The 25,306-nt window shown below is 43.3% G+C and overlaps 1 protein-coding gene across 30 annotated transcripts in view, besides 2 other annotated features; it reads left to right on the forward strand.

The window, feature by feature from the left end:
• Window positions 1-25,306, forward strand: part of RBFOX1 (RNA binding fox-1 homolog 1) — a 2,473,620-nt gene that overhangs the window by 1,682,693 nt on the left and 765,621 nt on the right. The gene's annotated exons all lie outside the window — the stretch shown is intronic.
• Window positions 3,506-4,180: an enhancer, noted in NCBI's record as "NANOG-H3K27ac hESC enhancer chr16:6975920-6976594 (GRCh37/hg19 assembly coordinates)". NCBI's record gives its function as "activates a minimal SCP1, AML or CMV promoter by ChIP-STARR-seq in primed H9 embryonic stem cells {active_cell/tissue: H9 hESC(primed)}" and the evidence as "EXISTENCE:reporter gene assay evidence [ECO:0000049][PMID:30033119]".
• Window positions 4,181-4,855: an enhancer, noted in NCBI's record as "NANOG-H3K27ac hESC enhancer chr16:6976595-6977269 (GRCh37/hg19 assembly coordinates)". NCBI's record gives its function as "activates a minimal SCP1, AML or CMV promoter by ChIP-STARR-seq in primed H9 embryonic stem cells {active_cell/tissue: H9 hESC(primed)}" and the evidence as "EXISTENCE:reporter gene assay evidence [ECO:0000049][PMID:30033119]".

Raw genomic sequence — 25,306 nt, forward strand, 5'->3', positions numbered from 1 at the left:
TGCTCTCTGCAGTGAGCACTTCCAGGCTGTCTTGCCTCTTCCTGAATTTGTGGGTGGTTGCTAATCTTTTAGCTCATTTTCTTTGCTGTGTTTTTCCACATTTAAAATCTTTTATTTTCCTGCGTCTGTGTTTTCATTTCCAGGAGACAGTTGGCTTTTTTCGTGTGTGTGGAATAAATGAACATGTGATTCTTTTACTTGCTGACTGTTGAATGTGAAATGTGCAGCCACCTGTAAGCCAGGTGAGGGTGGAGTAAACTTAGGCCATGTTTTGGGCCTCACTGCATCCACCACTCCAAAAACTGGAAAGCCTTCTGAGATTTTAAACATTTTCCAGTAATTTCCTTATTGTATGGTGACTGTGAGTAATAAATCAGGAGGTCAGCGTTCATCACAGGTGGGATTGTGTGATGATGGTGTCACAGAGCACATCATAGTGAGCATTTCCATTTCTAGGTGTACCTTGGGAAGTCTTAAACAAGGGGGTCTATATGTCTGTATTTCCTTTTGGCCATTTTTGATAATGACCAACCAGAACATATCCAAATCAGATGATGTAAGGTGCCTTTAATACACAAACTACTTATAAATCTATAGGCAGTGTATAAGCAAACCATAGACAGTGCAGTACCGTCGGCTGTTTATACAAGAGCTGTTATTACCCCTAAGCCCAGAAGGCAATGAGAGAAAGTGATTTGTAGAATTCCAAAGGAGATAGGAAAGCAGCTGGTCCAGTGTGAGTCTGAGAATAAATACCCTGGTCCCTGCTCCTGGTCTTCAGTTGCCTGCCTGAGCTCTCCATCAGCCCAGCCCCACAGGCTGCTAGATGTGGTATCCTGGCCAGGTGTGGTGGCTCATGCCTATAATCCCAGAACTTTGGGATGCCAAGGCGGGAGGATCATGTGAGGTCAGGAGTTCAAGACCAGCCTGGCCAACATGGTGAAACCCCATCTCTACTAACAATACACAAATTAGCAGGCATGGTGGGGAACACTTGTAATTCCAGCTACTTGGAAGGCTGAGGAAGGAGAGTTGCTGGAAACCGGGAGGTGGAGGAGGCAGTGAGCCAATATCACAACACTGCACTCCAGCCTGGATGATGGAGAAAGACTCCATCTCAAAAATAAATAAATAAAAAGATGTGGTATTCTGTTAATCATGGCTGACCATTTTCCAGGGCAGAGAGCAGGGTGGAATGGGATGGAGAGTGAATCAGCAGGGGAGCATGGAAGATGCATCAGATATACCCACACACCCTTTACTCTTTACCCCTTGACTGCCATTTTCTAGCCTTTAAAGCAGTAGAAGGCCAGCAAAGTGGTCAGGAACACAGATATCAAAGCTTAATTAATAGTTAGTCTATTTTGGAGTCCAATAAAGGATTTGCCACCTTCTAGCCATGAAACTTCAGGCAAGTGACTGAACCTCTTTGAGTGTATTAGTCCATGCTGCATTGCTATAAAGAAATACCTGAAGGTCAGTTGTGGTGGCTGACACCTGTAATCCCAGCACTTTGGAGGCTGAGTCAGGCAGATCACCTGAAGTTAGGAGTTTGAGACCATCCTGGCCAACATGGTGAAACCCTGTCTCTACTAAAAATACAAACATTAGTCAGGTATGGTGGTACGTACCTGTAGTCCCAGCTTCTCGGGAGACTGAGGCATGAGAGTCGCTTGAACCCGGAGGTGGAGGTTGCAGTGAGCTGAGATTGTACCACTGCACTCCAGCCTGGGTGACAGGAAGACTCTGTCTCAAAAATAATAATAATAATAATAATAATAGCAATAATGCCACCTGAAACTGGGTAATTTATAAAGAAAAGAGGTTTATTTGACTCACAGTTCTGCTGGCTGTGCAGTTATGGCTCCAGCATCTGCTCTGCTTCTGGTGAGGCCTCAGGGAGGTTCCACTCATCATGGGAGGCATGTTGGGCAGGGAAGAGGAACACGCAAGAGAGAGGGGAGGAGGTGCCAGCCTCCTTTAAACAACCAGATCTCGTGTGAACTAACAGAGTGAGTGCTCACTCATCACTAAGGGGATGGCAGGCACCAAGCCATTCTTGAGGAAGCCACCCCCATAACTCAAATATTTCCCTCCAGGCCCACCTCCAACATTGGGGATCACATTTCAACATGAGATTTAGAGAGGACACATATCCAAACTGTATCACCGAGCCTCCATTTCTTCACCTGCAAAATAATGAGGTGCAAGTACCTACCTCTTGTCCTTACTGTGATAAAATATTTCTACCTTTATTCTTTTTTTTTTAATTTTATTATTATTATACTTTAAGTTTTAGGGTACATGTGCACAACGTGCAGGTTTGTTACATATTTATACATGTGCCATGTTGGTGTGCTGCACCCATTAACTTGTCATTTAGCATTAGGTATATCTCCTAATGCTATCCCTCCCCCCTCCCCCTCCCCCTACCCCACAACAGTCCCTGGTGTGTGATGTTCCCCTTCCTGTGTCCATGTGTTCTCATTGTTCAATTCCTACCTATGAGTGAGAACATGCGGTGTTTGGTTTTTTGCCCTTGCGATAGTTTGCTGAGAATGATGGTTTCCAGTTTCATCCATGTCCGTACAAAGGACATGAACTCATCATTTTTTATGGCTGCATAATATTCCATGGTGTATATGTGCCACATTTTCTTAATCCAGTCTATCGTTGTTGGACATCTAGGTTGTTGGTTTTTTTTTTTTTTTTTTTTTTTTTTTTTTTTTTTTTTTTTTGAGATGGAGTTTTGCTCTCTTGCCTAGACTGGAGTGCAGTGGTATGATCTCAGCTCACTGAAGCCTCTGCCTCCCGGGCTCAAGCAATTGTCGTACCTCAGTCTCCCAAGTAGCTGGGATTACAGGTGCAAATCACCATGCCCATTTAACTTTTGTAGAGATAGGGTTTCGTCCTGTTGGCCAGGCTGGTCTTGAACTCCTGACCTCAGGCGATCTACCTGCCTTGGTCTCCGAACGTGCCGGGATTATAGGAGTGAGCCACTGCACCCAGCCTATCCTTTTTAATGCGACTAATGGACTCCACATTTATTTATTTATTTATTTATTTATTGTCCTATCCACCCTATTCCACTGTGAATGTAAATTTCCGGGGGGGCAGGGATTTTGATCTATTTTATTCACTGACATAGCTCTAGCATTAAGACTAGTTGGTGGCATAGAGGAGGCAATCCATAAATATTTGGGGGCATCAGTAAATAAGATAGTGGCTACAAAGGGCTTAGGGTAGGGCCTGGAATGCGTTAACAGCTTGATATTTGAGCAAGTATTTGGTAGTAAATACATCAAAGTTGATTTTAAACACCCAAACACAGACAAGCAAAGAACGGGAAATCCCCCAGGTAGGGATGATATTTAGAAATAGGAATAAAATAAGCCTGGCGAAATTACCTTTGGTGAGTTCCTTGCAAGGTTATGTGATTTAAAAAAAAAATCTGTAATTACATTTCTCTATGTAATTTTGTTTTATCATCTATTTATTTATTTACTTTTGCAATTAATTTATTTTAGTAACCTAAACTCATCGTTAAGTCTGTAGTCCTGGAAACCATGTCAACCGTCAGATCTCTGTCTATGCTCAAAAACCTCAACTTGCTGGCTGGGCTTGGTGGCTCGTGTTAGTCCCAGCACTTTGGGAGGCCGAGGTGGGTTGATCACTTGAGGTCAGGAGTTCAAGACCAGCCTGGCCAACATGATGAAACCCTGTCTCTACTAAAAATACAAAAAACTAGCTGGGCATGGTGGTGTGCATCTGTAATCTCAGCTAATCCAGAGGCTGAGGCAGGAGACTCCCTTGAACCTGGGAGGGGGAGGTTGCAGTGAGCTGAGATCACACCACTGCGCTACAGCCTGGGCAACAGAGCAAGACTCCATCTCAAAGAAAAAACAAAAACAAAAACCCTTATTTGGCAGTGACTGGGTACACAGAGTTGTGCAACAGGAGACCCGCCTGCAGAAAGTACCCACTGGGATCCTCACCACACAGCAGGCCTCAGAATTTCCCCTGCCTCCTGATCGGTGTTCAGATGTAGATAGTAGGTTCAGTGGGTTGATTAAGTTAATGACATTTGTAGCGGTGTTATAGGCTGCAGGCCAGGGAGAGGCTTTCTGGAAAATTGCAGGGAGAAATCCTGCAGGCTCTGCCTTTGAAAGATAATGCTAGTTGCATGCTGGGGCTGTCTCCTCCCTTTGTCTTGAAGGTGTAGAAGACACAGCTTTGCGGGCTGAGTAAACATATGTGCATGGTTAAGGTAAAAATGCTACTTAGCTCTTCTTCCCGTTAATTCGTTCAAGAACTGGTGAAAGAGAGCACACTTCTTGGAGACTGAACTTTTAAATGCTTCTGCTGGGTCTCTTGAGTTCTTAAAATTATCGTTTTGATCTTTCTGTCCCGTGCAGATACAAAATACATAAACATCCACGTGACTCTTTTTATTTTTCACTTAGAACCTGCGCATTGTCCTAGCAGGTACTCCCTCAGGGCCTGGGTTTTGTTGTCACTGCTGGAATGCAGTTGCTCCTCCTTGCCTTACTCAGGCCTCTGCCAGCTTCTCAGACAGCTTTGTCAAGCAATTGCTACTCAACCAGCGATTACTATTAACCCTTCGTTACCTAAATCCACCCACCATTTTTCTTTTCCTATACCGATGGGCCTCAAGCTTGAGTTTGCATTAGCTTCCCCCAGAGGGTTTGATCCCCTAGAGACTTAGAGGGTCCCCACCCTCAGAAGTTCTGAATTGTTAGGTCTGGGTGGGGCTCAGGGATTTCATTTTTTAACGAAACCCTAGGTCCTGCTGAAGCTGCCAGTTCCCATCTCTACTAAAAATAGAGAAATTTGCCAGGTGTGGTGACACACACCTGTAGTATCAGCTACTTGGGAGGTTGAGGCACGAGAATCGCTGGAACCCGGGAGGCAGAGGTTGCAGTGAGCTGAGATCGCACCGCTCCACTCCAGCCTGGGCAACAGAGTGAGACGCTTTCTCACAAAAAAAAAAAAAAAAAAAAAAAAATCCGAACGTCTCGTGTTAACAGGCTGATCATTATTTTCAAAAATGTTTCCTCTCTTTCTTTCCACATGGAAGCTCCATGTGAGCAGATATTTCTTTGTTTTGTTTTGTTTTGTTTTTCGTTTTTGCATCATTCACTGCTGTGTCCTGTGTGCCTGGAAAAGTACCTGACATTTAGCAGGGGCTTAATAGACATCTGCTGCATGTTGAATAATAGTGAGGATGTCAGCATCACCTGCTGCCCTTTGGGGGAGCAGATTTTAGGGCACTGTAGCAAGGCTGATTATAAGTCAGTGCCCTATGTAAGGCCTGGAACCTAAAATCTCCAATCATTGTTTTTGTTCTGTTGAATTAAGCCACCACCCTAAAGAGCCAGAAGCCTAACACTGAAGGAAATAGAAAATGTGGATCTCACAACACATCATTTCAAGTGTGTACATATACTAATAGCATACGCTAAACATCATCTAAACACTAAATATAATGATATAATGGCATTGGTCATAATCTTGAAGGTAGTTGCATCTCCGTAAAGTTTCCCATTGAGCTGCTGTTCCGCTGCTGCTGGCTTCCACCCCCAGCACCCACCCCTCTAGATTTATAATTTCCCCAACTTGGGTTGAAGCCCCAGATGACTGGGAGCTGCTTCTTTACTTTGGTTCCCTTCAGTCCCTTCGGCAGATGGCACAATTCTTAGTGTGTGTGATTGGGGTTTTCAGCATTGGCTGTGCATTGGCATTGCATGGGGAGTGTTAGAAAAGATTGATGTCTGGGTACTGCCCCCGAAGATTCTGATTTAATTGGTCTGAGGATCCCTGGGCATCCAGATTTTTAAAAGCTTACAGCCAAGGTTGTGAACCATCAGATCAGGGACAAAGGCGATCTGGAGGAAGACGGGGCGGGGAAAGAAAAGAGGAAAAGAGAATCCTGATTTCTGGAGCCAACAAAGGGCCCTGTGGGAGCAGAGGTTGTTGTAGGATAATGAAGGGGTGAGCTGGCAGCCAAGAGCTCAGGACATGCTTGAGGAAAGAACGTTCAACTCAGAAATAAGACTGCTTTCATGCGTTAATTATGCACCTCTTGTCTTCTCTAATCGTTTTATCCAGGGTAACCTTGTTGGCCCAAGGAAATTATAAATTCCTTGGGATCAGCAATGTGTCTTACAGTTACCCTGTAGCTCCCAAGGTCTCTAGCAGCCTTGCATTCATGTGGGATTCTTCAAAAGTAGCCCTCAAATTACTGAAGAACTGTGAGGTCAGAGTGGTAAGTAAAAGATTAAAATGTCTGCCAATCAATCACGGTTGCATATGTGTGTGTTTCATCATTTCACATTGTTTGATTTCTTTCCGCTATGAAAAGACATATGCACACAGAAAAAGAACAGTAACACACACAAAAAAATCAGCCAGTTAAAACCACCACCACCACCATCATCACCACAGAAACTTAGAAATGGAGCCCAGTAGAGCATCAGTTGTCAGATATGGGGGCTTCAAGTCCCCAAAGCAGATGTCATCTCATGTCATTGGGAAGTAAAGATGTTCACGGTGCAAGCGTCATTCACAGACACGCATGCTTGAGTTCCAAGGGAGCAGATGTGAGCCAGTTAGGAAGACGCCAGGAAAACACCATGCTTGCCCCACTCCCCAGTCTAGTGTTTAATTCACAGGCCCACATTGCAACTCTTCAATACTTTATTAAACACATCTCTTCTCCTGGATACCCTACTACCTTCAGAGCAAACACATTCTACTCTTTGAAGGCAAGTGTGTTCTTAACTGCTTGGATCCTACCCTTTATGACAGAGAAGAAGAAGATATTGCTAAGGGTTGGATTAGAGGTAGGAAACTGGGGAAGCTCTGGTAAATGGAAGAGGGGTTTACCTTGTTTTTTCATTCATAATGTGAATATAGGCAAGGTTAGAATCCCGGTGCACGTCACCATTGTCAAAATGACATCCACAAGCAGTATTGATGCCTCCACCAGGTAAACAGCAGTTCCCTGGTATATATCAGAAGCGTGCTTTTCTGTATTCTAAGCAGTTTTTGACACAGTGCTTTGCTTTATTGCAAGCCACAATATTTTCAGAAGGCTTAAAAATCCAGTTATGACTGTAGCTGTGAGGGAAGAGGTCTGCATGGGGCCGGGGAAATTTAATTTTTAGCTTAAAAAAAGTCCCACCAAATTCAATTTTTCTCACCTTTAGGGATTCTCAGAGTTATATCCAGCTTGCATAACTAGTGTGTTAGAGAATGTGTTACTACGGGGTTATTTTTTTTAACACATTTATTATTTATGAAATGCAGAGGAAAATAGAAATGATCGTTTCAGGGAATATCCTGTAGCTTTTTTTATTGTATTCAAAGAAGTTGCTCATGCTGTTTTAATTCAAATATTAAAAGTTAAATCTCTTTTCATCCTGACCTACATTTAAAAAACACTGCTTTAGCCCTTATGGAGGACAGAAAATGTGTGGAAGGAAAACATCCACTATGCATTCCTTACCCCATAGTTCGTCAGGAATCAGAATGACTGGCAAACCTGTCCAGGAAGTAATAGGAAAAACAGAGCGAGATCTCTCTCTTCTCTCCACATCCTTGCTTATCCCCTCTCTCCCATAGCAAACCAGCCCTGCTGGTTATGCTGGTTTACTCGGCCTGCTCTTGAATGTTGAGAAGCTCCATGTGAGCCCCTCAATCTGTGCTAGGGAAATAAAGAGAAGAGAGATATTATCCCATCTTTGATAAGGGATTAATATTGAGAATATATTGAGAACTCCTAAAACTCAACAACAGAAAAGCAAACAAGCTGACTCAAAACCGAGCAGAGGATTTGAATAGACGTGTCTCCAAAAGATATATACAAATGGCCAATATGCACATAAGAAGATACCTAACATCACTAATCTCTAGAGAAATGCAAATCAAAGTCACAATGAGATACCACCTCACACCCATCAGGATGGCTATTTTTGTTATTGTTGTTATTGTTGAGAAACAGTCTCACTCTGTCACCCAGGCTGGAGCGCAGTGGTGTGATCTCGGCTCACTACAACCTCTGCCTTCTGGGTTCAGGTGATTCTCCTGCCTCAGCCTCCCAAGCAGTTGGGATTACAGGTACCCCCCACCATGCCTGGCTAATTTTGGTACTTTTAGTAGAGATGGAGTTTTACCATGTTGGCCAGGCTGGTCTTGAGCTCCTCACCTTAGGTGATCCGCCTGCCTTGGCCTCCCAAGTTGCTGGGATTACAGGTGTTAGCCCCTGTGCCTGGCCTAATTCCCCGTTTTTAAAATGGGTTTAACATCTTTTTATATGTTTATTGGCCACTTGATCCTCCCTCAGAGAGCTATACAGTTTTCTCACTTTATTCAGTCTATGAGCAAATGTCATCTTGTAAGAGAATGTTCTGGATCAATCTTAACTGTAATAGCATGTTCCTATCCAATACCCCTGCCCCCTCACCATAGCCGAGTCTTCTGTGTATTTGTATGTATATTCATATATATATATATAGTATCCCACCCCCCTACACACATACATATGTACTTATTTCCTATCTTCTCCTTTCTGGATTGTAAATTTTTTGGATGTAGAAATCAGGTTTTGTTGGTTTGTTTTTCATTGCTGTATGCCTAACATTTAGAATAGCAGATATTGAATAAATACTTATTGATTTATATTATAAAGGTTGTAGTTTTAAGAAAAATTCAGAACACATTGACCTTTCTTTACTAGTAATGCGCTGTGTAGATATGGCATAATATTTTTAACCTCTTCTCTCTACTGATGGGAATTAAGGGGTTGTTTGCTCTTTGGTGCTACCAAAAAAAAAAAATCTATCTATCTGTCTGTCTGTCTGTCTATCTATCTATCTATCTATCTATCTATCTATCTATCTATCTCTACACACACACACACACACACACATACATACACATATATACATACATATATGTGTATGTTTATGTGTGCATGAACCACTAAAGGCATAATAAACGTCTGCTGCCTTGGACCAGCATCTCTGCAGGGTATAATCCCAGAAGTAGAACCTACTACATCAATGAGAACACTCATTTTAAGGCTGGGGACATCTTGCCAATTTGTTCACCCAAGGGCTTTGTCAATTCACACTCTTGCCACCCTACAATGGACAACATATCCCACCCCACAACCACCACAATGCTTTGTCTTTGCCAGCTTCTATCCCTATTTGAGAGATGAGAAAACTAATGAAAGGCTCACAGACTCAAAGTCAGACAGTTTCTAGTTGGTGGGTCTAACCCTCCCTGTTGCTTGTGCAGATCTCTTTGTTGTGATCTGTTTCCTGTGGTCTGCCACAAACTGGGTAATTTATAAAGAAAAATAAGTTTACTCAGTTATGATTTTGGAGGTCGGAAAGTCCAAGAGCATGGCACTGGTATCTGACGAGGGCGTGGTATAAGGCATCACATGGCAAGAGCGCATGTGAGAGGGAGGAGGCGAGGAGTAAGCAAGAGAACCAGGGGGCTGAAGTCATCCTTTTAATCAGGAATCAACTCCCAAGATAACTAACCCACTCCAGTGAAAACTAACTGACACCTGCAGTAGCTAACCTCCTGCAACAATCCATTCTTGAGGGCAGAGCCTTCATGACCTGATCATCTTGGTTTTTGTTGTTGTTGTTTTTTGTTGCTGTTTTTGTTTTTTCAGATGGCATCCCATCTGTCACCCAGCCTGGAGTGCAGTGGCATGATCTTGGCTCACTGCAACCTCCACCTCCTGTGCTTGAGTGATTTCCCTGCCTCGGCCTCCCAAGTAGCTGGGATTACAGGCATGCACCACCACACCTGGCTAATTTTTTTTGAATTTTCAGTAGAGACGGGGTTTCACCCTGTTGGCCAAGCTGGTCTCAAACTCCTGACCTCAGGTGATCCACCTGCCTCAGGCTCCCTAAGTGCTGGGATTACATGCATGAGCCACCATGCCCAGCCCAGATCATCTCCTAAAGGTCTCACCTCACAATACCATTACATTGGCAGTTACATTTCAACCTTGGAGGAAACATTAAAACCATAGCCCTTCTTGATGGATTACATCCTTAGGAGGATCTGCTTCCAAGTGTCTCACCTATATGGTAGGTGAGTTAGTGCTGGCTGTAGGTCGTAGGCCTCACTTCCTCATCCCACGGGCCTGTCCACAGGCTGCCCAAACATCTAGCCCCAGGCATCTTTCATGGAGAGTTGCACCAGATTCTGAAGTGCTCAAACACATGTCTCTACTTTCACTAATCTCTTTCTGTTAAATTTGTTTTTGAGTTGTGTGAAATAAATACAATGTAAAATTTACCATTTTAACTTTTTATTGCACAGTTTGGAGGCATTAAATATAGTCACACTGTTGTGTAACCATGGCCACTGTACATCTCTAGAACATTATTCATCTTGTAAAACTGAAACTCTATATCCATTAAACATTAACTCCCATTATGTCTTCCCCCAGCCCCTGGCAACTACTATTCTCCTTTCTGTCTTTATGAACTTGACTGCTCTAGTATCTCATGTAAGTGGAATCATTCAGTATTTGTCTTTTTGTTACTGGTTTATTTCACTTAGCATAATATCCTTAAGGTTCATCTGTGTCATCACATTTGACAAGATTTCTTCCCTGTCTAAGGATGAATTACATTCCATTGTATGTGTAAACCACATTTCTCTTATCCCTCCATTCATCTGTAGACGCTTGGGTTCCTTCCACACTTGAGTTACTGTGAATGATGCTATGAACGGGAGTGTACAATACCTTTCAGAGTCCCTGCTTTCAGTTGTCTTGGGTGTATAGCTGCAAGTGAAATTGATGAATCATAGAGTAATTTATTTATTTATTTTTTAGTAACCGACATACTCTTTTCCGTAGCACTGCATCATTTTGCATTTCCGTCAGCAGTGCACAAGGGTTCCAATCTGTCCACATCATTGCCAACACTTATATTCAATTTTCAGAAATAATGGCCATCCTGGCCAGGTGCAGTGGCTCATGCCTGTAATCCCGGCTCTTTGGGAAGCCAAGGCAGGCAGATCACCTGAGGTCAGGAGTTCCAGACCAGCCTGACCAGCATGGTGAAATCTCTTCTCTACTAAAAATGCAAAAATTATCCAGGTGTGGTGGCAAGCACCTGTCATCCCAGCTACTCCGGAGGCTGAAGCAGAAGAATTACTTGAACCTGGGAGGGAGAGGTTGCAGTGAGTCAAGATCGTATGACTGCACACTCCAGCCTGGGGGACAGCACGAGACTGCGTCTCATTAAAACAAAAACAAATTGGAAGAATTTAAAAGGGAGTGGGGAAGAAGTATGGTCAGAACATTTTCCAAACTAGTGTTCATTTTCTATATCCAAAATTTTCATGCAGTGTTTACCTCTCTTTATCTTAAGAAATCAATAATTGGGATTTCATTATTTTGTTTTGTCAAAACAAAGTTATTGAACAACAAAATACCAGTGTTTGAGTGATTAAAAAACAACAACATGGTATTGAAAAATCAAAGTACTTATCACTAAAGTTAATGCTCATCCTCTCAGCCCACCAGCCAGGGGTCAGGGAGGGGACACGATTGCACACTGGGCTAGAGCTGCTGTCCGAGAGGCCTTGAGGGTAGGCGTACGACAGCAGCATTTCAGAGGTAGTTGGCAATGCTCCTCTGCCACCCATAGTGAGACAGGGAACTTCCTGGGCTTCTGGTACAGAGTTTTCCTAACAGTATGTGCATACCTAGCTGCAGTTCCTGGTCTAGGGATTCTTGCTATAGAACTACAGAGCGGTAACTTGAGTCACTGTGAAAGCAGCTCTTCAGTCTGGACTGAAGTTGCTGCGCTTGGGATTTTCTTTTTCATGATGTTTTCCTTTATTTCTTTTATCAATACAGAATACGTATTTATGTAATAAATATGTGAGTATTTTTTTACATGCAGAGAATATGTCATGATCAGTATTTGAAAGGGAGACCTGCCTTTACATGTTTATTGCAGCACTACTTAAAATAGCCAAGACATGGAATCAACCTAACTGTCCATCAGTGGGCTAATGGACAAAGAACATGTGGTATATGTATGCAGTGGAGTACTATTTGGACATAAAAAGAAGGAATTTTTTAAAAAGATAACAAAGTCATGTCATTTGCAGCAGCACAGATGGAACTGGAGGTCATTGTGTTGTGAAATTACTCAAGCACAGAAAGACAAGTACCATATTCTCACTCATATGTGGGAGTTAAAAAATATGATCTCGAGATTTTTTTCTTTAAAGGAAAAAGCTGTGAGGCCCTTTGCTTAGTTTGGAGGATCTCAGAGGGAAAGGGGCCACGCTTTGTGTATCACTTGAATGGTCAATTTAAGCCAGGTGCGGTGGCTCCTGCAGGTAATCCCAGCACTTTGGAAGGCCGAGGCTGGCAGATGACTTGAGCTCAGGAGTTTGAGACTAGCCTAGGCAACATGGTGAAACCCTGTCTCTACCAAAAATAGAAAAAAATTAGCTTGGCCTGGTGGCATTTGCCTGTGGTTCCAGCAAGTCGGGAGGCTGAGATAGGAGGACTGCTTGAGCCCAGGAGGCAGGGGTTGTTGCAGTGAGACAAGATCGTTCCACTGCACTCCAGCCTGCGTGACAGTGAGACCCCCATCTCGGAAAAAAAAAAGAAAAAGAAAAAACAGCTTATTTAACCTATTCGAGTGACCTTGAGCTATATGCCTATCTGGCCTAATTTTCCCATCATCGAAGTGAGATAATAATACATAGCTCAGAGTGTATGGTCAGAATTAGGGGAGGCAGCAGAAGTAATGTGTTTAGTGTGGTTCCTGGCATGTAGCAGATGTTCAGAGTGGTAGTTTCAGACGATCTCTCCAAGTCTTTGATAGTTTCCCTTCATAAAGTAGAGCCTCATCTCCCTCCCCATGAATAGAATAGAATGTAGCAGACACAATACCATGTGACTTCCAACAGTAGATCATAAAAAGGAAATCTTTTTCTCTCTCTTCTTGTCAATTTTCTTTTGCAATAATGAATGATTACTGTTGTCTTAAGCCATTACATTTCAGGGTAATTTGTCTCATGGCAATAGATAACTCACACTTTCAGTAGTATTTGCAGCCAAGATCTGTTATCCTTGAATATTCAAAAATCTGTGACCTATCCCCATTGTGCATGTACACACAAGCACACGCTCCCCTACATACTTTGCTGACATCTTATTCTTAAATGTAATGTGCCTTATTCAAAGGGTGATTAGGAGGTTTGAGAATCAGTGTGGCAGCTAAGCGAGACATCTTCCTTGTTTTAATCAGAAGAATGGAAAGTGCTTTGTAGAGGCGAGGTGGACTGTCAAGCACAGAGCATGCATGTCTCTAAGGCATGCCACAGAGTTTATCCGGGGCCAGGATACCTGTGGTCTAGATCCTAGAAAGGAGGGATGCTAGCCTGCACATCGGTTGCTAATGGAACCCTTGGGTTTGTGTGACTGGGGACCAATCTGTGCCGATGTGTGAATATGTCTGCTTTGCTTACACTCAGGCAGTGATTGCATATCTGGGGGCTAATGAGCTAAGTTTGGATAATGGCAAGAGGGTTTCTTCTCAATGCGCAAGAGTATTTTGCCTGCGTCAGGCTGACTGCGGGCATTTCCTTAGATCTGAGGTTCACTTTTTGCTCCGGGGGTTCAGCTTCTGTACACTTGATGGATGCTGGTCTTAATTTGGTGTGTTGCAGTCATTGCGAGTTGTGCAAGGATATTACCTTAAGGATATTCTTTTGAATATTAAATTAGAATAAATTAAGGGATGCTGGATATTAAGCCTAAATCAGAGATGAGTAATTGCCTTCCGTTTTATGCCGTTAAGTTTGTTGGAAATGCAAGATATTTGTTTTAATTACCAAGTTGTTGAACCAACTCTCAATGAGCATAGGCACAAACAGAAACAAATAAAAACTTCTTGGTGAGTTTGTGAAATGTAGATAACACCTAATTGGATGCATTTTGTTAGTGCCTGTCCTATTATCATTACTTTCTTCCTTCATCCAACATTGAGTAATTGACTCCCGACTATGTATCCAGAAACGTAAAATGCTCTGGGGAGGATATTAAGGGCTACATTTTTTTCATTGCTTAATTGTTTCCTGTATATGCCAGCCTAAGCACTTGACATCCCTATAAAATATTCACAGAAGCACTATAAGGTAATTATGACTATGACCGCTATTTCACAGATACAAAACTAAGGCTGAGAGAGGATAGCATTAGATTAATATTAAAACAAAAACTCATACAGCTAGAGGTAGGGTAATTCCATACTGTATTGGTAATTCAAAGCAGATAAAATTGTTGCCTCTTGAAAGCCTGTGCCCAAAACGCTTTAAAGAGGTTCTTTCCGAATGCTCAAAAACAGTGTATTTTAAAAGCTGCTCTCTGAAATTTTTAAGATCCATCAGCCAGAGTGTGATGTTCCCCTTCCTGTGTCCATGTGATCTCATTGGGACTGTTGTGGGGTGGGGGGAGGGGGGAGGGATAGCATTGGGAGATATACCTAATGCTAGATGACGAGTTAGTGGGGGTAGCACACCAGCATTGCACATGTATACGTATGTAACTAACCTGCACAATGTGCACATGTACCCTAAAACTTAAAGTATGATAATAAAAAAATAAATAAAAAAAGATCCATCAGCCAGTAATTTTACCTTTAAAATGTTATCAAAAATGATATTTTTTTCCAAATTTTTATTCTGGAAAATTCAACTATGTCTGTAAGAAATCAAAATAGTATAATGAATCCCTGGGTACTCAGATACCCAGATTCAACAATTGCCAACTCACGACCAACACTGTTTCCTTTTTACCTTCATTCCCACATCCCCCGAACAACCACCCCACATGCACAATGTATCTTTTGAAGTAGATACTTTTCTTTGTTGGTATTTTAGGAAAGTCTTATTAATGTAGACTTTTTTTTTATAGTTTTCTATGTGTTGGCCATTCAGATGTCAATGAAAAGAGTCAAACTCTGTAAAACGGTGAAGATATTTATTCTGAGTGACATAGGAGTGACACAGACATCAGGAGATCCTGAGAACACACACCCATAGTGGTCAAGGCACAGCCTAGTTTCACACATTTTAGGGAGATGTGAGGCATTAATCAAATACATGTGAGATTTACATTGGTTCGGTCTGGAAAGGTGGGACAACTGGAAGCAAGGGTATGGTGCGATGGGCTTCCACGTTATTGGCAATTGGTTAAAAGAGTTATTATCGATAGAAAAGAATGTCTGGGTTAGGATAAGGGGTTGTGGAGACCAAAGTTTTATCGTGTGGATGTAGCCTCCAGGTAGCAGGCTGTGGAGAGATTAGATTGCAAATGTTTCTTTTCAGACTTAAGGTCTGTGTTGATGAAATGCTGGCTGGCTTTTCCTGAATTCCAAAAGGGAGATGGGTATCATGAGGCATTCCTATCATGGTCTGAATCAGTTTTTCAGCTCAACTTTGGAATGCCCTGGCTGAGAGGAGAGGTCCATTTAGATGGGTGGGGGTGGGGGGTGGGCTTACAATTTTATTTTTGGTTTACGCAAGTCTGTAGAAATGGGAGCTAATTGTGATATGGATATCCCTCAGTTTCTGCTTGCTTTTTAGAAGAAACTGCAATCACATACCTTAAAAAAGGAATCTACATATAGAAATTTTGAACTATTCAAGTTCATTGTTTAAAAACAAATTTCTGGATTTACTTTCCTAGTGTAGAATATAATCTGTCATTGTCCAGATTAGATCATTGTCCTATAAATATCAGGTAGGTTGCAGATACAATAATGCTGCGCAGATCTTTAGCCTTTGTATTTTTTGGTATCGTCACAAGGAAAGTAAAAATAGTAATTGAAACCGAAGCCTATTGTTGGCAAGAAGGTTAAGTTAGCACAGCACATAGAGCATTACCTGGAAAATAGTAAGGGTCGGAAAAATGTAACTGTTACACTGTTGCTGTTGTTATTTTTGTTGTTCTTGCCATCACTTTTCTTGTCTGAGAAATTTCTAAGTCTCATCCATAATATTAATAAGGATTAAATAAGGTAAATGCCTAACATTCTAGCATTACCAGACACTGAATTACTGTATTTTTTCTCTTCATTTTTTTTTCCTCTGGCTATGTGTGGTGGATTTAGTTGGACTGTTTATAGGAGGACAATCTAGGTTAAAGGGCAGAAAATTGTATTTTTGGTAGAATTGGGGCTTTGCCATGTTGGCCAGGCTGGTCTCGAATCACTTGAGATCAGAAGTTTGAAACCAGTTTGGCTGTCAGGGTGAAACCCTGTCTGTACTAAAAATCCAAAAATTAGCTGGGTGTGGTGGGTTGTGCCTGTAATCCCAGCTACTCGGTAGGCTGAGGCAGGAGAATCACTTGAACCTGAGAGGCAGAGGTAGCAGTGAGCCGAGATTGCACCACTGCACTCCAGCCTGGGTGACATAGTGAGAGTCCATCTCAAAAAAGAAAGTAAAATAAAAAATGGAGAATGGAGATTTTGCCCAGGAATGCACTGTAACTGTTCTTGTAGTCACTTTCCTTAGAGATCTGCCTTGACATGTGACGAACTCTGGAATATCAATGCTACCATGGGGTTTGTTCTTTTCCTGTCATTTTACTCTTGAAGAAACAGTGGCCCAGAAAAATTTAGCAACCTGCCAAGGTCACACCACTAACTAATGGCATAGCTGGAATTAGAACTCAGGCCAATGAAGAGAAAAATAATTTATTAGGTTTTGAAATTTGATATATAAAAACCATAAAGGTTTCCCCACTTCTCAAATATTGCAGACATGAGTGTAATATGAGTCATTATTTTGGGCCAATTTTGCTTGAAATAACAATAAATTACCTAGAGTCACAAATAATATATAAATTGGTCCAAAGTTTTAGGTAGCTTTATATATGTGTATGTGTGTGTGTGTGTGTGTATATATATATATGTAGCTATATATAGTAGACATCTGTTTTTATCTGGGTTAATGAATGTGCTCTGCTTTGCACAGAATTTAAATAGTTTCAGAATTTTTCTTTCTTTTTTTTTTTTTCTTTTTTTTGAGATGGTGTCTTGTTCTGTCATGCAGGCTGGAGTTCAGTGGGAGTGATTTCAGCTCACTGCAACCTCTCCCTCCCAAGTTCACTTGATTCTCATGCCTCAACCACCTGAGTAGCTGCGATTACAGCCGTGTGCTACCATACCCAGCTAATTTTTGTATCTTTGGTAGAGTTGAGGCTTCACTATGTTGGCCGGGCTGGTCTCAGACTCCTGGCCTCAAATGATCAGCCTGCCTTGGCCTACCATAGTGCTGGGATTACAGATGTCAGCCATCATGCTGGACCAGAATTTTTCACTAAGAGGGTATCATATAGCTGGTGGAAGATACATGTCAAGGCTCTTTGTAATTTACTGCATATTATTCAATTTCACTCCATAAATGCATAATTTAATCACAACTCTGGTTTAAATGATATAGCAGGAATGACATGGGTGGAATTTAAAGTTTGTATAATTTATATCATCCATAGCACTTTGAAAAGGCACAGGTCAGCCTGGCCTACAGGGCAAAACCCTGTCTCTACTGAAAATACAAAAAATAGTAATCCCAGTTACTTGGGAGGCTGAGGCAGGAGAATCACTTGAACCCAGGAGGCGGAGGTTGCAGTGAGCCAAGATCACGCTGCTCCACTCCAGTCTGGGCAACAGAGTGAGACTCCATCTCAAAAATAAAAATAAATAAATAAATAAATAGGTACAGGTAGGTTACCTCTGGCTATCAGAGGGGCTTGGGCATGAGTCCTTGTTGCTGCCCATATAGGAAGGGGCTGCTGTGAGTTGCTCTGACCAAGCTAGGTTTTGGGAGATGCTTAAAAGCAAAAGCTCAAACTACATTGCTCACTTCCCATCCGACAATTCCAGGAACTTAACAATTCAGGAGCAGCTAAAGCTCCTTTAATCTTCTCTCTGTCCACACAGCAAAAACTGACGAGTGAGTGATGACAATGATAATTTAGGTAAATATTGATGAAGGGAAGAATAATTCTCTATACTTTGAATGAAATTCCTCTAAATCTAATTCATCCTCTTGGAGAGAAGCAAAAAATTGGGTATTCAGGGGTCTTATTTGTACACTTCTTTTCTTTTTTGAGGCGGAGTCTTACTCTGTCACCCAGGCTGGAGTGGAGCGACGCGATCTCAGCTCACTGCAAGCTCCGCCTCCCGGGTTCACGCCATTCTCCTGCCTCAGCCTCCCGAGTAGCTGGGACTACAGGCGCCCGCCACCATGTCCCGCTAGTGTGTGTGTGTGTGTGTGTGTGTGTGTGTGTGTGTGTGTGTGTGTGTAGCTGGGAGTACAGGCGCCTGCCACCATGTCCGGCTAGTCTGTGTGTGTGTGTGTGTGTGTGTGTGTGTGTGTGTGTGTTAGAGATGGGGTTTCACTGCTTTAGCCAGGATGGTTTCGATCTCCTGACCTCGTGATCCATCCGTCTTGGCCTCTCAAAGTGCTGGGATTACAGGCATGAGCCACCACACCCGGCCCCCCTTATCGTATACTTCTATATGTGTATGGACGCCTATGTGCGTGTACGTAAGTGTGGAGGGAGAAATGGAGGTGGGTAGTTAAACAGGAAAGAGTCTTAGTTGGAATTTCATTTCAAGTCTACTGGGATATGGAGGCAAGAATCCTCAGGAAATCCATCAGCAGACTCTCATTCCATGCATACATATATATATATTCCCTTCCTTCCCTCCCATTACCTCCCTCCCTCCATCCCCTCCCATTCCCTCCCTCCCATTTCCTCTCTCCCTCCCTTCCCTCCTTCCCTCCCTCCCTCCTTCCTTCCTTCCTTCCTTCCTTCCTTCCTTCCTTCCTTCCTTCCTTCCTTCCTTCTCTATGGCTTCCAGCAAGTAGATTAGCCGTGTGGAAACTCAGTTTTCTCATTTGGAATATTAGGAAATCCCTAATTTAAAATAAACACCAAAGTCCTCTAACATACTGTAAAAGTGCCGTAAACTTTTGATCTATTCTTTCTTCCCAGTAAGGGGACCCTGCTGGTGGGTTTCCTGAAGGTTCTCACACCTGTCCACCAAGAGACTTGAAATTCCAACAGGGAATCTCCTCTACCTACTAAATTATGCCCCTCCTCTGCCCTTCATACCTGTTGAATATTATAAGAATGGGTTTATCTATAAAGCAGGTCAGTCATAGTAATAGAGCTGATGGTTAGGAAAGGTGGATAGACAGAGAGAGATTGGATTTGGCTTCTGAGAATGTGGTAACTATACCAAGCAAGAGGTAGAAGGCAGGTGAACTCATACTCACCCTATTGGAGGACCTAACAAATAAGAATGAGCTGCTTTTTTTTCCCCCTAACTCTTTCCCATCTGGAGTGCAGTAAGTGCAATCATAACTCACTGTAGCTTCAAATGCCTGTGCTCAAGCAGTCCTCCCGCTTCAGTCTCCCAAGTAGCTGGGAAAGGATGGGCACAATGGCTCACACCTGTAATCCCAGCACTTTACCAGGCGGAGGTGGGCAGATAATTTGAAATTAGGAGTTTGAGAGCAGCCTGGCCAAAATGGTGAAACCCCATCTTTACTAAAAATAATAATAATAATAAAAATTAGCCACGTGCAGTGGTGCACACCTGTAATCCCAGCTACTTGGGAGGCTGAGGCAGGAGAATTGCTTGAACTTGGGAGATGGAGGTTGCAGTGAGCCAAGATGGCACCACTGTGCTCCAACCTGGGTGACAGTGAACCAGGATCCCACCACTGCACTTCAGCCTGACTGACCGAGTGAGACTCCATCTCACAAACAAAAAACAAGTTGCTGAGACCACTGGCACACACCACCACGCTCAGCTAATTTTTTGATTTTTTTTTGTGACATTTTGTTGCCCAGGCTGATCTCGAACCCTTGGGTTCAAACCACCCTCTCCGTCAGCCTCCCAAAATGCTGGGATTACAGTTTTGAGCCATTGTGCCCAGCCAGGATGAGCTTTAAGAATGTTGACAACATCTCCATCTCCTGGGAGATGAAGCTTCCTAGTGAGACTATCAGTTAGAGCATTTTCCTGTGGAAGCATCAAGAAGACAAGAGTAGACTAAGGCAAGTGATTGGGTGATCAAGACAGAGTGGACTTTTCAGTGCAGGAGACGGTGCTAGGCAGAGTTGAGTGGACAGCGAGAAGGATAAGATGGTGTCTGACTTGGATGTGAACTTGACACTGGGGCATCTCTTTGGACAAGTGACCATTTAGAGACTCTCTTGAGAGACAGACTCACAAGCAGGTAAAAAATAAGGGCAAATGGTTTTTATATATTGTCTCCAAGTCATTCTCAGAAAAGATGGCTGACCCTGAACAGGTTTTGAGGAGGACAGTCCTTCTACATGGGTGTAGTGTGATGCTCGCAGTTTGCAGTATACAAAGTACACAGTTGTGGTACCGACAGGGCTCGCATTGGAGATTCGACATCACCATGTGCTTTTGTGACTTGTTTCGTGGTTGAAAAAAGCAAAATGGATCCCCCAAGGCTCTTCCTACCCAGACCCAAATGGGCAAGCGGGGAGAAAGCTCCCTGAATGCCTTTACGTTAGATGCTGTTGGGATTCAGAGCAGGTCCCCAGGAGGGAGCCAATCTGGGTATTCATTCCTTAGCTGCTGTAATACTGGCTTGCTAATGGCTACCAGCTCTCCACTCTCCACAGACCTGAGCTTGGCCAAATGGGAACTGCTTTGCCTATAAGGTTATAGAGCCCTCAAGAGAAAGCCAGCAGTCAATGACTGATCAAGGTGCAAAAAGAATAGCCCATTTGTCTTAAAGAGGGTGTTAAAGCAAACCAAATATGGCTTGAAAAGGACTGCATACTTCTATATTTGAGTTCTTGTGGATGAGCTGTCAGCTAGCTTAATAGACAGACAAGACTGAAAATCTAACTTAAGAGTATGGGCCTGTGGGCCGGGCGTGGTGGCTCACACCTGTAATCTCAGTACTTTGGGAGTCTGAGGCAGGCGGATCACAAGGTCAGGAGATTGAGACCATCCTGACTAACATGGTGAAACCCCATCTCTACTAAAAATACAAAAAATTAGCCAGGCGCGGTGGCGGGTGCCTGTAGTCCCAGCTACTTGGGAGGCTGAGGCAGGAGAATGGCGTGAACCCGGGAGGCGGAGCTTGCAGTGAGCCAAGATTGCGTCACTGCACTCCAGCCTGGGCGAGAGAGTGAGACTCTGTCTTTAAAAAAAAAAAAAAAAAAAGTATTCGCCTGTAACAATAGCTGAGTCTTGGCCAATCCCAGCAGCTGAACTTCAACCACTCATAGACTGTTAAGTGTTCAAAAACTGTGTTCAAATAAGGCAAACGCTGAGCTGTAACCATTCTAGCTTTTTCTGTACCTCACTGCTGATTTCTATACATCACTTCCCTTTTTTCGTCTATAAATTTGTTCTGACCATGACATATCCCTGGAGTCTCTCTGAATCTGCTGGGATTCTGGGGGCTGCCCAACTCACGAACTGTTCATTGCTCAAACTCCTTTAAGTTTAATTTGGCTGAAGTTTTTATTTTAACAGGGACAACCAACACTGCAAAGCCTGAAACCTGTGGCTCAGGCCCAGGCTAGACTCTACTTAAGACCACACCCTGGCCAGGCACAGTGGCTCTTGCCTGTAATCCCAGCATTTTGGGAGGCTGAGGTGGGTGGATTATGAGGTCAGGAGTTCAAGATCAGCCTGCCCAACACAGTGAAACCCTTTCTCTACTAAAAATACAAAAATAAGCCAGGCATGGTGGTGGGCGCCTGTAATCCCAGCTAGTCAGGAGGCTGAGGCAGGAGAATCGCTTGAACCGAAGAGGCGGAGGTTGCAGTGTGCCAAGATTGCGCCGTTGTACTCCAGCCTGGCAACAGAGCAAGACTCCATCTCAGAGAAAAAAAAAAAAAAAAAAGAAAGAAAAGAAAAAAGAAGACCACACCCTTGCTTGGCCACTTCCCTGCCTTACATGACTTATCTCCACATAGGTGACAGTGACTTTGGATCAGAGTGATAGTAACCAGAAGTGGTCACGATCTGGTATATTTTGTAGACCTCTTAGGAAATGTGTACATTAAGAGACTGGGTCTCGTAGATCTCAGGTGGAATCTTCAGCCTCTGTCTAGTTTTTGTGGGGGTCTGGCCATGCATCACAGCCTAGAAAGTGCAGGAACCTGGGCTGATTTCATGGTTCAGTACATGGTTTCCTGGGCAACCTTTCTGCCCCTTGACATACATGGATAAAGTCCTGTTGCCATAGTACCCTCATATGGGTGTATCTCATCTATGCCAACTAGAGAATAACCTGAGGACTGGAGGGCTTTGGGTATGATTTGTCAGAATCCAATTAGCAACTCCAATTGATTGATGATGGCTGATTCGTGGGTAGCTATGAATTTGCAGCTCTTAGCTATTCTGTCTGTAAGGATGAAGACAGTCTGAAAAGTGGCTGACTGCTGTATGGAGTACTCTTTGCTCCTCCTGGGTGAAAAGGGTCGTGACTTTTAGCAGCTCTTCTTCTTATCTTAACATTCTGAATCCCGTGTTCTAATGCATTATTGAGGGTTTGTGAAGACAGAGCAGGGGCCAGCTCTGCACCCAACGTCCCTTTGCTAGGGTCACGCAGAGGTAGGGGCACAGTACATAGGGATGAGAGTATGGGGAAAAAAGGGCTGTGACCTCAGACTGCTTAGGAAAGCAAATTGGCAGCAAAGTTCCAGCTCAGCCACTTAATCTTCACGTGTCCTTGGGCAAGTCATGTGACCTCTGTTAGCGTGTTATGATGGTGAGAATGTGTACACTAGGGGTCTCAAACGCAGATGCTTACCTAGGGCCAGACAGTTAATGTTATCAGTCAAACATGGCCCATTGCTGGTCTGAACAACCTGTGCCATTTCTAGATGGCCATGCAGGAATGTAGATCCAATGGTGCCAGATTTTATCGTTTTAAAGAAAATATGGATATTTTGATTTTTTTTTTTGTAAAATGGGAAATCTAATTCTCATTTTTGGAAAACACTACCTGACCATGTAAAGCCACATCTGTGACTCATGGGCAACCAGTTTGCATCTTTGATGTTTATTTTTGTATCAGAATCCGCTGGTGCTGGCTAGGCTCGGTGGCTCACGCCTGTAATCCCAGCACTTTGGGAGGACGAGGTGGGTGGATTACCTGAGGTCAGGAGTTCAAGACCAGCCTGGCCAACATGGTGAAAACCCGTCTCTACTAAAAATATACAAATTAGCTGAGGGTGGTGGCAGGCACCTGTAATCCCAGCTACTTCGGAGGCCGAGACGGGAGAATCGCCTGAACCCAGGAGGCGGAGGTTGCAGTGTGCTGAGATCAAATCACTGCACTCCCCACTGGGTGACAGAGCAAGACTCTCGTCCCCCACAAAAAAGGAATCTGCTGGTGCTAACCCTAAGCCCCCAGGGGCGTTTACCATTTCAAGGCATTCTGCCTCAATTTCCACAAGTGTCTTTTGGCCTGAGGTCTTTCTGGAGCCTCTGGAGCCCCCTTTGCCTACACAGATGCTTCACTGGAAATGTGAGGGAATTAAAGCACCCTTTCCCCAGCAACCTTCAATGGGTAACTCAGGATTTGCTTTATAAATAACCCAGTTTTCCTTGCTTCTCAAGTGGGATAACTCATGATTAGGGGTTGGCAAGTGTTTACAGTAAAGGACCAGATACAGAGAATATTTTAGGATTTGGGTGCCATATGGTTTCTGTGATAACTGCTCCACTACATCCTTGTAGTACAACAATAGCCATAGACAATAACATATGGGTGTGGCTGTGTTCCAATAAAACTTTATTTACAAAAATAGTCAGTGGGCCAGGTCTGGCCAGCTGGCCCTGTACTGGGCCTATATTGCTTATCTGTGCCATAAAGCAAGCTCTACGCTTATTGCCTGAGTTCTGTGATGAAAATAAGCTGTTACCCACTATGGTAACTGGCTTGGTAATGGGCTTTCTGCATAGCCTGTTTTCTCCTCCTTGTTTTACATCTCCCATCCCTACTGTGTTTTCTAAGAACCTTCTTTCATAAAAGCTTCTTGCATTTAAAACCTGTTCTCCAAGAACCTTTTTTTCATTTTTTTGAGGGGGAAGGTAGTAGGGGTTAGGGTCTGGTTCAGTCACCCAGGCTGGAGTGCGGTAGTGAGATCACAGTTCACTGCAATCTCAAACTCCTGGGCTCAAGTGATCCTCTTGCCTGAGTCTCCCAAATAGCTGGGACTACAGACTCACTCCACTCTGCCCAACTAATTATTTTTAAAATTTTTTGCAGAGACAGGGTCTCACTGTATTGCCCAAGGCTGGTCTCCAGTTTCTGAATCTCAAGCAATCCTCCTGCCTTGGCCTCCCCAAGTGCTGGGATTATAGGTATGAGTCACCACATCCAGCCCAGAAACCTTTCAAACGTTGTTATTTGGCTTTATGTTTGGGAGCCATTTGAATGTGTATTTGAATCCCAGCCTGACCAGTTTCCTAGCCCTGTTGGGTTGAGCAAGTCCCTTCACCTCTCTCCTGGCCTCAGGCTCCTCATCTGTAATTGAGAGAAGGTCTGTGCTTTCTCAGAGAATAGTTAAGAGGATTTAATGGGATAAGATCTGTTAAACTCTTAGCACATAACCTGGCCCATGTTCAAGGTCCAATAAATCACTGGCTGTGATTTCAACTCTTTATGTGAAGGATGCAGTTTATGGCTGTCTTTTAGGAATTGGCCAAAATGATGAGTCAGAAGCTCTTCTTATTTTCCTGTTTTTCACCTTGATTTTGGAGTAAGGTCACCCTTCCCACAGGTAGGGTGTGATTTAACAGTCTTTAAGAGATAACATTATGAAGACACCTGGGTGCCTGAGCCTTTTGCATCTTAATCGCTCTCCCTGGTTTCCTAAGAGAAGGAACAGATGGGAGAATGGAGACTGGCTTCAACTGGCCGTATTTCATCCGGCTGAGAACATATGTTCTTGGGAAGGATGTAGGAACACCCTGAAATAGAGCGAAAAAGAGATGTGAGATGAGAGAAATCCTCCTGAAACATGAATGGACTTGAGTTCCTGTTGCCCTTCCTTGCAGCTTGCTGCCTCCTGCCTTGCGTAGAAGGAAAACTGTTCCTGGTTCCAGACAGAATGGATTTAAGTTCTGTTCTATCGTTATCTCCTTGGGAAAGCTATATGACTTCTCTGAGCCTCAGTTTGCTGAAATCTATTTAT

Source organism: Homo sapiens, chromosome 16 (assembly GCF_000001405.40).
Source record: "Homo sapiens chromosome 16, GRCh38.p14 Primary Assembly".
NCBI lineage: Eukaryota > Metazoa > Chordata > Mammalia > Primates > Hominidae > Homo > Homo sapiens.